Source organism: Homo sapiens, chromosome 6 (assembly GCF_000001405.40).
Source record: "Homo sapiens chromosome 6, GRCh38.p14 Primary Assembly".
NCBI classification, from domain to species: domain Eukaryota; kingdom Metazoa; phylum Chordata; class Mammalia; order Primates; family Hominidae; genus Homo; species Homo sapiens.
This window is the reverse complement of record NC_000006.12, coordinates 79,616,518-79,631,784: the sequence shown is the minus strand read 5'-3', so window position 1 is coordinate 79,631,784 and position 15,267 is coordinate 79,616,518. Positions and strand designations below refer to the sequence as shown.

Here is a 15,267-nt window from a genome sequence, read left to right as displayed (position 1 = left end):
AACAGGAGCTGGGGGCTTCCCTCGGACTCCATTTTCAGGCCGCGTTGTCTGCCTTTCAGGCCACGCAGGGTGGGCATTTGGGTGAGGCCGGGGTCCCCCACCCACCTTTCCTCCCCGCCCTCTTCATTGTTGTCGGAGTGTGATGGATCACCTGCCGGGCGCGGGCTCCCGCGGGCGGACCGGCTGAGCGCAAGGACGCGCAGTGACGAGCGCCGCGCGCCTCCCGCAGGACCCGCGCCCCGCGACCCCAACCTACTGCCCGCCCCCACCGCGCTCACCGCCACGAAGCCCGAGGAAGAGGCGATGAACACGCGGATGACCATCCTCTCGCTGCGCCCGGGACAGACCCCTTGCCCCCCGGGCTCCGGGCTGGCGTGGACGCAGAGCTGAACCCAGCTACGAGCCGCCGGCAGCCTCTGGGTAAAGCGCTGCCGTCGGGGAAGATCGCTGGGATCTGGCTCCCTCCCGGCGGGTCCGCAGATAAAAGCCCAGCGCCGCCCGGCCGCAGGCTGAAGGGGAAGGAGAGGGAGGAGGAGGGAGCCGGCTGCGGGGCTTGATGGGATTTGTAGTTTCCGTCTCTCCCTGGAGTGGCTGGTGGACTGAGCTCCCCTCCTGACCGCGCTTCTATCCCGAACACGCGCAGGTGGCTGGAGGGGAGCCACAGCCCGGGCAGAAGCTGTGAGGTGGGTTGGCAAGGATCCTGGCTTGATGAGGAAAAAGCAAACTAGGCAAAAGGGCTCGGTTCAAAGTCCAAGCTTGGGTTCTGTATTGTGGTTTATTGGTTTGGAGCATCCACACCCAGAAATGCCAACAGACACGATCGTGCTGCGGGCACACATCGTCTCAGGGCCGCTGGCGTACCGGGCAAACCCCAGCTACCTGAAGCAGGCGGGATCGGCGAGCCGGGTGCTTGGGAGGTGTGGGCGGTGGGGTTGGGCTCGTTTGTTTGTCCAGTAGCACTGGAGATTGCAGAAAGGTGATTCTTTTGGGTAAATGAGAGGTCTTCTCTTGTCTGTACACACTGAAAATTAGAAACCCAGATGGAAGCACAACCAATATTTTATTTTTCTCAGCAAAACTGTAATTGTAGTAGAAAAAAATAAATACCAAACGAAATTGGAATCCTTCTATCAACATTGGAAATCAGGACCCTACCTGCCCCACCCCTCCCTACACAATGGCTTCGCCTCTGTGCACCTAATATTTACAGTTCAGCCAAATCTGTGCCTTTTTCAGAACCGCTGCACATTCCAGCGCAGTTTCCCAGGAGGATGCTGTTAAATAAAAAGCTTCTATATAGTTGCTAATAGTTTAGGAATAGTTTTTTATCAAGTGCTTTCTGTTTGACAAAAGCTCAAGCCTCTCTCTCAGTTTTGTCGAAAGGAACCAGTTTTCCCTGCTGTACTGTATTTACTTTTTTCCTTTCAACACGGGAGTTTAGCAGAGGTCTGGGAACAATGTTAATTAAGAAAAAGTAAGAAATTAGATGATGAGGTCTCTGGCTCTTTGATACATTTCTTGCACAAAGAGCAATCATTATGAAGTATTTTTTAGAACAGTTATGAATATTTCAAATTTATAACCTTTCCTATTGCTTTTCTTAAAGCCATTTCTGTAGTAGGAATCTTTTTAAATTTCCTTCAATAATAGAAGAGACACTCCTAATGGGACTTTATTTCTTCTTCGTGTTTAAAATTTTAAATAGAAGTTTTGCTGTCTTTAGTATCTCTCGGCAAATGTACTTTAATTTTGCTACCATAAATGTGGAAATGCACGTTTATAAAATAGAAAATAATTTTCTTAAAAGTAGATACCGTATTTCCTATATAAATGCAAATCTTTATAAAAGTCAGCATTTTCTTCAGTTTGGAATTATTCAGCTATGAAGATATAGTTAAACTCAAATAATTGGAACTCAGAGCCTACTCTGTGAAAGGTACAAGAATGGATAAAAAGTTGAACGAGTCATTTCTCTGTCAGCAGAGCACCTATTGTCTAGGAAAGAAAAAGACAGATACAGAAATAGTGACAGAACAAGACACACTGTACTAATACAGTGTTGTGTGGATGTAAAGGAAAAAGGTGGCCATAGAAGGTACTTTAAAGATGAGTAGAATTTCTGTCTGCAGATAGGGAGGATGCAGGGTGAGACTATTCAGGGTGTGTGAGGAGAACAGCAAGGAGTTGGTTTTGCTTCAGAAAGGAATATGAGGGAACTAGTAGAGGACAATGCTGAAAAAGTAGGTTTGAATGAATGCCAACAAAGGACTTTCTCACTGGGTTATCTGCTCAGCTCCTTGGGATTTCTGCTCCTTTCCTCTGATCCTAGAGGTTGTAAGGGTCCCCCAAGCCCTGTACATACAGCAGGGCCTAACCCTCTGACCACAGCTTATTGATCTAGGAGTGAGCACCTAAGCCAAGCAAGGCCAAGCAACATTTCTACCCTAAAGATTCAGAATTGGAACTGGGAAAACAAGAGAGCTTGAATTTGTGACATGGAAGCTCAGAGCTTCCAACATGAGAATCAGAGAAGCTGAAGAAGCTAGTCAGTAGAAAGAGAACAACAGAGAATTTGTAAAAAAGAGTTGGAGATAATAGCTCTAAGTTTTAGAAAGAGTCCTGACAATACTGTAATCTAAGGGTCCTCAAACTATGACCTGTATGTCAAATGCACGTGGCTACCTGCTTTGTAAATAAAGTTTTATTGGAACACATTCCTCTTGGTATTGTCTATGGTAGACTGACAGAGGTCGTATGGCCCACAAAGCCTAATACATTTACATCTGGCCTTTACAGAAAAAGTTTGCCAATCTCTGATCCTGTTCAACCTGTTCCTATATCCCTGCTCTTGAGGGCTGTGTAATATCCCTATATCTGTAAGTTCCTCATCTTGCTTAAGCCACCTGAAATAGGTTTTGTTTCATGGAACCAAAAGTGCCCTGAGAAATTCATAAGCGCTCTGTGTCCAAATGCATTCTGAGGAACAGAAGGATATAATCAGAATTATACTTCAAGAAGAATCCTCTATTTTTTCCACCCTGAATGAAAAGGTTCACCTTTTGACCTTGTATGCAGGAGAAAATATGTTAGCAATCCAGTAAAACAGCAAGGCCGGTATGGAGTTGAGACCCAGAGTTGGTAAACAAAGTGGAAGAGTACCTGAGAGCAGAATGCAATCTAGGATATAAGATAGAGGTCCAAGATCAACACCAGCTTATCAGACCACAGAGAGTATTAGATGCCAATCTGACAAATAAGGTCTACAGATAGAGCGGGTAGCCAAAACTGAAAGATGAGACTAAGAAAATTGAGCAGGTCATTAGGCTTGAAGAAAGTGGCTCCCATGTTGCCTAGGACTTTATCCCCTTTACAAGTCCTGGTAGACCATATGGCTAGAATGTTTTAAAGTAGGGGTTCTTGACCTTTTTTTTTTGTGGGAGTAAGAGGAGTGCCAAGGACCCTTTAGTAGTCTGATGAAATCTATCGGTGGTTTCTCAAAAAAAAAAAGTTTCTAAATATAGAAAATTTGAAAGTATAAGGTTACAAAGGAAACTATACTGCAAAACAATTACCAAAATGTTAAAATTTTGATATGATAATATGTATGATTCTTTATTAATGTATTAAATATTAAGATTGGTGGATCAAACGGCCGTCATGATTTTGAAGTAGTAATGGGAAAAGATAAAATTTTGAGATATTTGCAATCATTGGAAAATATGAAAATGCCTGTGATTTCTATTGGTAACAAAGTCACAGTGTTGTTGCTATTACAATGGCTTAACTACTTTCATAATTGAAGGAATTGGTAAATTTCAGTTAGAGTTTAGTGAAAAGATAAAGATGTGATTTTTTTTCTCATTCAAGTCCATGAACCCCCTAAATTCTATCAAGTCCCTTTAGGCTGGGGGTGAGGGGAGATCCAAGAACCCCAGGTTAAGAAATCATGATGTCTGAATATATCTAAATCTACAGAAGCCTATTATTTTGCCTAAGAAGAAAACATGGAAAGAGACAAGAAGGAGCCATGAAGAGTCCCTTGGAGATCTCCTACACTTAAGAATTGGAAAAAGAATGAGGAATTAAAAATAGTAGAAGAGCAACCAGAATAGTACAAAACTGAAAGAGTATGCTGTCACAGAAACCAAGAGAAGAATTTTAAGTTTCAAAATGTAGAGACTATCTAAGAATGTTAGCCTGAAAGTCAAGAAAGATTATATTGAAAATGAGACTCTCCTTTGGCAAATTTCATCACCTCCATAAGCCTCAAGTTTCTTGTCTATAAAATGGGTATCAACAATGGCTATCAATCAATATTCTAATGATAATTGACTACCTTTAGGATATTATTTAAGTTATGCCATACGGTGCCTGTCAACCCACAGCCCTTCTAAAGGAAACTCTCAGGCTACCTGGTCACAGATATTTGGAATATTTGGACCACATTTGTGTTCTTCCCCCGGCATGACCTATTGCAGCTTGAAATTTACAACATATGTGACCAGGTCGGAAAATACATGCAGGTCCTTCAAATTCCTCTTTTAGGAATTTATAGTTAGAAAATTTAAAGACTAAGGCAGTTAGCAATAGAATAAAGGGGGATGGTATGAGGCTGGGATAGGATTGGGATGAGAAGCTTTGAGCAAGTTGAGGCAATGAAGGGACTGAAATGAGTAAAAAGAGGAAGCTAGTCTGTGGCCCGGGGAAATAGAGTCACTATGTAGTGAGAAGCTGAGACACTAACAAGGAGGCTGACAGCTGTCTTGCTTCCAGTCTCAGTTTTCATGAATCCAAGTCTGCCGTGGTTCCTGCCCTTGAGTTGCTGTTTCATAATCCCCCTCCTTTATCTTGAGCTAGTTTAAGTGCGTCTATTTTCTTTCAACTATTAAATCCTGACCAGAATACCTATGTAAAGCATGGGTAGTAACTCATGCTTCTTTAGGGATCAGGCAGGTGATATTGATTAGAGAGGTGAGGAAGATCCAAGTGCATATATATTCACTTTGTGCATAGGGTGGGCACCATGAGGACTGTAGCTGAAGTATTCTGGTTTTTGCATGTTGGCTTGATTTTTAAAAACCGAGCCCAGTAAACTCAGGTTTGCTTACTAAACTCACCATCTACAGGCACAGCCCTATGGGCATCCAGGTTTCTCTCTCCATTGTAAAGCACTGAGCCCAGGGTTTGGCACCCAATAAATCCACAAGAAGCACTAGCTGTTATTATGATAGTAGTTTATTATCATTACTGACCTCTGTGAGAGTGCTTCCAGTAGAGGGGTAGAGACAGAAGCTAGATTGCAGTGTCTTGAAGACTGGAACCCGATGAGGTAATAGAGGCAATGATACATCCTTCATCTCTCCTCTTTGGAAATTTGATGGTAGAGGGAGAGAGCAAGGGCAGAAGTTATAAAGGGAATCAGGGAACGTAAATATCCTTCATTAAGGTTTATCTACAGATTAAATAAAGAGTTCTTTTAAGCAGTTTGAAGTCTCACCCGTCCTGATTTTATTTTTATTTATTTACTTATTTAGAGACAGAGTGTTGCTATGTTGCCCAGGCTGCTCTTGAACTCCTGGCCTCAAGCAATCCTCCTGCCTCAGCCTCCCAAAGTGCTAGGATTACAGGTGTTAGCCAGCACACCTGGCCCAGATTTTAATTTTAGAATGGAATTGAATCTGACTGATAATTTTGTTCTGTTAGGGCTGCCCTGTTCTTAACTAATATTACCTGACTCCCCAAGGATTTAACTTGTCAAGGGACTTCACAGTGCCCACACCATGCTTGTCACAATCCCTTTCCTATTCTAAGTGGTTGCTCCTTCAAAAGCTGAGTCAGCACCTTTGGCTGTTAGTGGGTGATAGATTTGTGGGAGAGGAGGTTAAGGGAAGGGGTAGGCCAGAGGGGTTAAGGAATGGGAAGCCATACCTGCATTAATGTCACAGCTATATGACCTTAGGCAGCTGGTTTAACTTGCCAATACCTCATCTTCCTTATCTTCCTGGCTGTTGCAAGGCTTAATAGAGATGATGTATGTACAGTGCTTTTTGACACCATGCCTGGCACATAGTTAGGACTCAGTAAGTGTTAGGTATTATTAATCATGCAAAATAAATCAAGGAAGGGCCTGCATTCACACAAAGCATATAAACCCTATAAATATTTGTTTCATGTGTGTGATTTTAACTTTCTAAATAACAGGTATCTGGTTTTGTATAAGCCTCTTTATACAGTGCCATGTTCAATTAAAGTACTTAACAAAGTCTTTTTGATGTTATTGAAGTTTAGAGGCCATAATTAAGATAAAAAGAATATTTGTGAAATGAAGCAGCAATAAAGTCAAATAATGCAGCTTAAATTTCATAAAAAGAGAATTTATCTACTGCTTTATGTTGTTTCATCAGGCCAATTCTGTCTATTCTTGATCAAATAAAATCTTAATTAACAGAAACCATACTAACCAATCCCTCAATTAAATGGAACTTTCAACATTCATGATTAAGGAATGGAAGTAATTATGTGTGTGTGTGTGTGTGTATATATATATGTGTATATATATATGTGTGTGTATATATATGTATGTGTGTGTGTATATATATATTTTTTTTAATAGAGACACGGTCTTGTTCTGTTTCTCAGCTTGGAGTGCAGTGGTGCGATCACGGCTCACTACAGCCTTGACCTTCAGGGCTCAAGTGATCCTCCCACCTCAGCTCCCTGAGTAGCTGGAACTACAAGCATGCGCCACCACACCTGGCTAATTTATTTATTTAATTTTTTTGTAGACACGGAGTCTATGTTGCCTGGGCTCATCTGGAACCCTGGGCTTAAGCAGTCCTCCTGTCTTGGCTTCCCAAAGTGCTCGGATTACAGGCGTGAGCCATGGAGCCCACCCAGGACATATTCTTGAATCAGTTCACATTCCCCCTCAACCAATAGGGTTCTTTATTTTATCTGACAGGAAAAAAAAAACCCAAAAAACAGAAAACACTTTCATTCCCCCAGCACCTTATTCTTACTGTAAAAGTCAGCAAACTGAAAAAGAGAAGAGATGGAAGAGAGGTGACTGGCACAGCTGCCATCCTGCAACTATAACAAGGAAGCTTTGAGATATGCTGGTAGGGTAACCACTGGATAAACTGAAGCCCTTGTGTGCAGTTCATTTCTTGCAGCTATGTTCACTCAGTTTCTGCCAGATGCTATACTAGATGCTGGGGATTCAGCAGTAAATCAAACACAATCCCTACCTTCATGGAAATTATGGCCTAATTGGGGAAGATGATACTGAACATATTGTTACAAGTATGCTTAGTGCTTAAAGGAAAATATCAGATATTGTTTTTGTTCTTTATTTTTATTTTGATTTTTAATCTTGTAGGACTCTCCTAGTCATCTTTTTTGGTTATATATTATCTATATATTAATCAAAAATATTAATTATAGATAGTTTTATGTTTTTGATTAATGATACATATGTATTATGATAATATATAGATGATATATATATGATATACTATATATAGTATTCAATATATATACATTTTTCCAAGATTGCATTCCAGGTCAGGAGATGACAACACTATAATAAAATAAAGATTCAATGTTGATTATTGCTGAAATAGTTCTAGGCAACACAAGTTACAGGGATTTCCAATACTCTACATATTGGTTTTATTAGTCCACCACTTTGTAAATGATTACCATGTTATAATAAACATAAAGTTTGCATTTAGGTTATTGTTGAATTCAGAAACTATTTTGATTCCTCATAAATACACTGCTAATGAGTTTTTAGAATTTGTTATAATTTCTCATTATGCTAGGCATAAAGGCCATTTAAAATAATTGCAATAGAGGAAGTATAAGAAAATGTTTACATATAGATACAATTAGAGAAAATGGAAAAGTCAGCTTAAACAAAACATAAAGTGTTATTATTTATGTAGCAATTATTTTTATTATTCTTTTTCCTGTGATTTTTGAGGGGCCTACTGAATGGAAATTATGAACATTTGCTTTTAGTGCTTTTTAACACCTTAAGCCATAAAGAGTTTAAAAAGAACAATTAAGTCTTCACCTTTAAATTTCTCAAATTTTTCCTGAAAGTAAAATCAGAGATGAGAAAAACCAGACACCTTAACATTAGCTTACCACTTCTTTTCCTCAGTTCTTTGTGTCCATCTCCATCTAATACATTCAGAGGCAACTCAAATTGCAGATATCACTCTAGTCTGTACTGCAATGACAGTCTTTGGGTTTAAATAGCAGCTTTCAAGGGGAAAGCATTTTTGCATTAAATGGAAATAGATTTAAACTGATGTCAGGGAACACTGTCCTGTAAATTCAACATACCCTACTCAGAAGCCCTTATCCAACCCAGGTATCATGAAGTTTATGACGAAACAAAGCACTCACTGACAGCATTTAGTCTTTCCCATGTTAATTGCCCCCGATTGTAAATCAGACATTTTTTTTTTTTTTTTGAGGCAGAGTCTCACTGTATCGCCCAGGCCAGAGTGCAGTGGCACTATCTCCGCTCACTGCAACCTCCACCCCTCAGGTTCAGTTTTCCCACCTCAGGTTCCTGAGTAGCTGGGATTACAGGCGTATGCCACCATGCCTGCCTAATTTTTATATTTTTAGTAAAGACAAGGTTTCACTATGTTGGCCAGGCTGGTCTTGAACTCCTGACCTCAAGTGATCTGCCCACCTCAGCCTCCCAAAGTGCTGGGATTACAGGCGTGAGCTACCATGCCCAGCAATCAGACATATTTTTAAAGCTCATTAAGTTCTTTATGCCCAAAGAACAATGTAGTGAAATGCCTTATTTTACTTTAACCAGTTTACATTTGCCCAGAACACATAGCTTTTTAAAAGACCATTCTGCTCAATTCAGTTTATTTGTTGAACACTTGCTCTCTATCAGTAACTTATCAAACTTCTTCTCTTCAGCAATTTGCATTTCTTTAAATTGTAAATAATTAATTTTTAAAAATCATCTCTCAAAACCAGAAAAATGTTAATATGTCCTGGTAATTCCTAAAAACCCAATGACTTAAGTAGCTATTCAATACAGAGGATATCAGACAATTTTAATTTCATTTATCAAGTTGCTAATATATACTAGACACTGTACTACATGCTGGAAATATGAAGATTAATAAAACAGAGAGGTGTGTGTTGGGGGATGGGGTGAAACACTTTTAGCTAGCACAAACTGGAATCCTGGGTAGAAGCACAAAGGTCATGAGTGAGTGGTTGTGTGAGAACCATGCAGAGACACAGAATCTTGGGCCTTTGAAAGGAATCTTTGAGGTGTGATCTAAAGTTTACTTGCAACACGTATCATTACTGTTCTGGTTTTAGATAGTAAAGTAGAATAAGTAATAGTTTAGGAAATTGAAATCTCATCAGTGCCTATTTTCTTACAATTTGCTGCATTTTGCCACTGTTCCTCAGTTAAGAGTAACAATTGTCTTTGTAGTCAAGGTTGTGGAGGGGAGGTGCTGGAGGAAATGAATTCTGCAGCACTAAATAGCAGCCTATCAACCTAAAATGAAGACAGGCTTTCTGCTTCCCAAATCTGCTTCTGGTCCCATATTAATTGATATACATGCAGCTGCAGGTTTGGTCAAATCTGAGAAATTTCCAACAGCAATAGTGACATTTGATTCTTTCACATAACAAGATGTGTACAGGGAGGTTAAACCAGGTTTATTACATCAGTCTAACAATGTCCTCAAAGCCTCCAACACTCCACTTTCCATTCTGCCATCTTCTGCATGATGCTCTTCCTTGGGCTTGTTACCACCTCATGGTTGCAAGGTGATTGCCACAGCCTCAAATATGGCATCTTTATACCATCATCCCAAATAGGAAGAAAGAAGAGGACAAGCAAAAAATATGATTTCCTCTTATCAGGGAGGAAGAGCTTCCCCAGAAGTACTCCAGCAGACTTCTTATATCTCACTGGTCAGATCTGGGTCACATGGCCATCTGCAAAGGAGGCTTAGAAAGTGTATATCAAGAAGGAGAATGGGAGAGCCACGACGGGTTAAGGTCTGTTATCATTCATCCCCTGGGACTGAAACTACTGGGGTTCTGCTAGCAAGAAAGACAAAGGGGGATGAGTGGCAACAAATAGTGACTGCCACAATCATTTGCTTGGTGCAATCTTGGGTGAATTACTTAACATCTGTTTTGGTCAGCTTGGGCTGGTATAACGAAATACCATAAGCTGGGTAACTTATAAACAACATGAGTTTATTTCTAACAGTACTGAAAGCTGGGAAGTCCAAGATCAAGGCAGATTCAGTGTCTAGTGAGGGCTTCTTTCCTGGTTCATAGATGGCACCTTCTTGCTGTGTCCTCACAGGGTAGAAGGGGCTAGATAGCTCTCCAGGTCTCTTTTATATGGGCACTAATCTCATTCATGAGAGCTATACCTTCATGACCTAATAATCTAGAAGCCCCCACCTCTTAACACTATCACATTAGTGATTGGGTGTCAATATATAATTTTGGGTTGAGAAGGACACAAACATTCAGACCATAGCAGCATCTGTGCCTTGATTTCCATATCAGCAAAATTGAGATAGTGATAAAACCTAACTCCTAGGCTTGGGATGAGAATTAAATGACATAACCTATGCCAAGTGTTTGAATAAGTGCCAGGTACAAGGTCAACACTCATAACTATTAGCTACTAATAAAAAGAGACATGGCTGGGCTCGGTGGCTCACACCTGTAATCCCAGCACTTTGGGAGGCTAAGATGGGAGAATCACTTGAGACCAGGAGTTTAAGACCAGCCTGGCCAACATAGCGAAACCCCAACTCTATTTAAAAACTTAAAAAAACTTTTAAAAGCCACTATATTTCCCAAAGTGCTTGATTTACACCAAATTCCTTAGATTCCCTGGATAGCAAGATGTGCAGAAACAGAATTGGAAAACATGGCTTCCAACTCTCAGCAGATAATTCTTTCCATCAGACTTGTGTCTCTAACATAGTTTAGATCCTTTTTATTCTTCTCTGTGCTATCCCCCAATCCTCTCCCTTTCTCCTCTTCTCTTCTCTCCCTCTTCCCCACTTTTCTCTCACATCTACTCTTTTATCTCCTTTCCCCATACATGTTCTTTTTCTCTCTGAGGACCCCTTCCCCTTTTTTTCAGGCTGGGAAATTATCATTACTTCACCTTCTGCTTGACTTAAAGGTTAAAAAGGATGCCAACCCTCACACAGGACTCTCCAAAGTCCCATGAAACAGTTATCCTCCGAGGACCAATGGGTGATATATTGAGAGCATGGTTAATTTATTCTGCATGTGCTAAAGCATAAGTAATTCACAAGCCAGGCAATAATCATGCGCCTAACATGCATCAATTGTCTGATAAACGCACCTCATTGCACTATTTTCTTTTTGCCATTTCACTCTCATAAAGGTCGGAAGGAAATCAGGCAAAAAAAAAAATCTTTAAATTTAACCAAATTAATTTATCCACCATTTTTTAAAAGAGTAGGACAGAAATAGGACAAACAACCTAAAAAATGAGCTTTGTAAAAGAGATTTGCAAAATAATTATCCAGCAAGAAAGAACATTAGTTTATTATTCCAGGGGAAAAAAAAGGGAGAACCAGGCTTCTATGAGAACGGTAAATGGAACACAGCAGGAAAGAAAAAAAACAACAACAACTGGAGAATATGTGTGCTATGACCTTTGGAGATGAGCAAGGAAAAAAAATCAATATAAAGAGAATTCACATACACACATTTAAAGCTATTCTGAGAGATCAGAAACATTTGTTTTTGAAAAGGGAAGCTCTAGCTTCATTGTGCAATATTTTTCTTTGCTTCCCATTAAAACCAAATGGTGTGACTTCTAAATGTTAGTAAAATCTCAGGTTTCTTTTCTTTTTTAAAATTGCCTTTAAATTAGCACAAGAGGGAAGTGATTCCCACTTATGTCTGCTATAGAAGAGAAAAGGAATAGATGCAGAAGCTAAAACCAAGGTGTATTAAAGCCACACACCTCCCCTCATTCATCCCTCTCCATCTTCCCACCTAAACTTGAAAAAGCTCAGGGTGATGGGGCTGGAAATGGGGGAAACAGCAGCAATGGGGGTCCTGCTTATCTTCATCTCCTGCAAAGGCAAGTGGAGTTGATGTGATGAATTCTCTAGGAGTCAGCTGTACCTGGCATTCTCTGCCTCTGCCCATCTGGAAAGCCTTAGCAGAAACCTCAAATACCAATGAGGACCAGGAGGGTATAAACAAAGGCAACAAGGGCAAGTAAGAAAATATAAACTAAACCACTTGTTTTGAGACTAAATAGCAACAACAACAGCATAGGACTGCTGACTGAAGTATACAGTAACAATAAAGAATGAGGAAGGTATGTATGTACTACATGGATTTTCCAGGATAAATTGCTAATATTGTTAGTGAGGAAAAAAAAACAAAGCACAGAGCAGGGAAGACAGTTTGCTGTCTTTTGTGTAAGAAGGGAAGGAAATTATACATACAGATGTGTAACAAAACATCAAACAAAAAGAGACAAAATAATTGGTTACCTAGAGGGGTCAGGAGGTGGAGAGGAATAGAGGCAGGGTGGAGCAGATATGAATGAATATAGTAGATTTTCCTAATCATGTTTTTTATATAGTTTTGAATTTGAGCTATATGGCTCAAATTCAAATAATGGCTCAAACATGTTTTACCTGTTAAAAATTAAAATTTATTACAGGGAAAAATTAAAGCAAACTGAATTTGAAATCAAACTGAAGCAAATTATCTTAACTGCATTACACACGGGTGACTTTCGAGTAACTTTGCAACACAGTACACTTACTGTTTATCTTTTTTTTTTTTGACAGAGTCTCACTCTGTCACCCAGGCTGGAGTCCAGTGGGGCATTCTCGGATCACTGCAACCTGCCTTCCAGGTCCAAGCATTTCTTCTGCCTCAGCCTCCCGAGTAGCTGGTACTACAGGCACATACCACCACGCATGGCTAATTTTTGTATTTGTAGTAGAGACAGGGTTTCTCCATGTTGGTCAGGCTGGTCTCGAACTCTTGACTTCAAGTGATCCACCCGCCTTGGCCAGGCTGGAGTGCAATGGCTTGATCTCGGCTCACTGCAACCTCCACCTCCCGGGTTCAAATGATTCTCCTGCCTCAGCCTCCTGAGTAGCTGGGATTCCAGGTGCATGCCACCATGCCCGGCTAATTTTTGTAGTTTTAGTAGAGATGGGGTTTCACCATGTTGGCCAGGCTGGTCTCAAACTCCTGACCTCGTGATCCGCCGGCCTCGGCCTCCCAAAATGCAGGAATTACAGGCAAGAGCCACGGCGCCTGGCCCAACCTGGCCATTTTCTTTTGCCAAAAAATGCCCAAAGAATGATGGGGATATCTCAAAAGGACACAGGAGGAAGCCAAATTTGGGTCAATTTGAACACCAAGATCAGTGACTGCAACTGATTATAAAAATTGAATAAGTAAAAAATCCACGTAGTCCATAGAACTGTTGAAAGAGAGACAAAAGAACTAATTTGCCACCCTTGAAAGTGACTGTTGCAGCAACTCCTTATTCTGAAAATTAGCAAAGAGAAAGAATTAAGCACTTAGCCTGGCTTTTTAAAAGGAAATATAATTCATCCCCAATAGGTAAGAAGCTCTTCTTTACATAGATATGCTTGCAAATAAATAAAGAAGAAATTATAATTTAGAAAATTACCATGTTGCACTTATTAAATAATCTACATAATTACATAAATATCAATGGATGTTGATACCATCAAATATAAGGTTACTATGGAACCGATTATTTACCAATTGCTGGCTGCTTCACAGAAATTCCATACTTTTACAATGGAAGGACCTGTGTGTCATCACTGTAGCCAAGTGATCATATTTCATGTCATCATTGTGGGACAATCTGGCATTAAGTGCCTCCTGATTGTTGCAATTTGAAGTACAAATCACCTGTGAAGTATCCCTGCCAAAATAGTTAACCTAATTCCAATTCAGCCTCTAGATTGAACTTCCAGTTTACAGGAAAAATTGGGAGAGAGCAGGGAGTTAACTAACATCACAAGCAAACAATCAGACAAATCCAGAATATGGCTTAATCTACCAAACTTTGGTCTGGACTCTTCTAAAAGTCAATGTCATGAAACAAAACAAACACAGCAAAGTTTGAGGGACCGATCTTGTTTAACTTGCTTAACCAAACACAACAGGTAAAACTTGATTGGGTCTTGATTCAAAAAACAAAAGTATAAAGACCTTTTGAAGAGAAGAAAATGCTAACCTGAACAGGATATTAAACTTCAGTATAAATAGGGAGTGATTGTTCATTCTCTTAGGTGTGATAATAATATTATGATTATGTAAGAAAATGTCCATATTCTTAGGAGAGGCAGAACAAAATATTTAGGGATAAAGTTTCAAGGTACCTACTACTTAATTTCAAAAATCCAGATAGAAGTACATATAGATAAATGCAGAATAATCAAATATGATAAAATGTTAATAATCATTGAATGAAAGTGTTTCATTTTTTCTTTTTCTTTTCTTTTTTTTTTCTTTTTTTTGTTTTGAGACGGAGTTTTGCTCTTGTTGCCAAGGCTAGAATGCACTGGTGCCATGACGGCCCACCACAACCTCCGCCTCCTGGGTTCAAGCAATTCTCCTCCCTTAGCCTCCTGGGTAGCTGGGATTACAGACATGCGCCACCACACCTGGCTAATTTTGTATTTTTAGTAGAGATGAGGTTTCTCCATGCTGGTGGCTGGTCTCAAACTCCCGACCTCAGGTGATCTGCCCGCCTTGGCCTCCCAAAATGCTGGGATTACAGGCATGAGCCACTGCACCCAGCCCTGATTTTTTTCATAATCAAAAGTTGAGTGGAAATTTGTGTATGAATTACTAACCACTCCATGCACTTTCTTTTTCTTCCCTGAACCCCTGAGCAGAGCTTCCCAAAACAACAAGGGCAGCATGTGACAGGTTGAGGGACCATGGAGGTCATCTTGTCCTACCCCTGAATGGAACTGTAAAGAACAAGAGGTATGGTCCTAACACAGTGAGTGCAGACTCTGGACCAGCCTCCTTGAGGCATTGTTGTTCTTTCTAGTAAGAGAATGAGCTCTGAAGTCAGAAAAATCTGGATGCGGAGCCTGTCTGTGTTACCTCAGGCAAGTCACTTAACATCTCTGAGACGTATCTTCCTAATCAGTGAACAAGGATCATAAGCCACCTCTCACA

General features: G+C 40.3%; 1 protein-coding gene across 5 annotated transcripts in view; it reads right to left on the bottom strand.

Annotated features, from left to right (window-relative positions):
* SH3BGRL2 (SH3 domain binding glutamate rich protein like 2) overlaps positions 1 to 15,267 on the bottom strand; it is a 166,023-nt gene that overhangs the window by 71,871 nt on the left and 78,885 nt on the right. The window contains exons 3-4 of one of the 5 annotated variants that reach the window (XM_047419390.1): positions 5,253 to 5,364; positions 757 to 1,021 (exon numbers count right to left, since the gene is read on the bottom strand). The exons of 1 other annotated variant lie outside the window; for it this stretch is intronic. In XM_047419390.1, the coding sequence (XP_047275346.1) occupies positions 776 to 1,021; positions 5,253 to 5,364 (358 nt within the window). In that variant the 3' untranslated portion in view covers positions 757 to 775. Of the gene's footprint in view, positions 1 to 278; positions 5,365 to 15,267 lie in introns of those variants that run through there. 3 more of the 5 variants (XM_047419391.1, XM_047419392.1, NM_031469.4) reach the window with 3 other exon arrangements.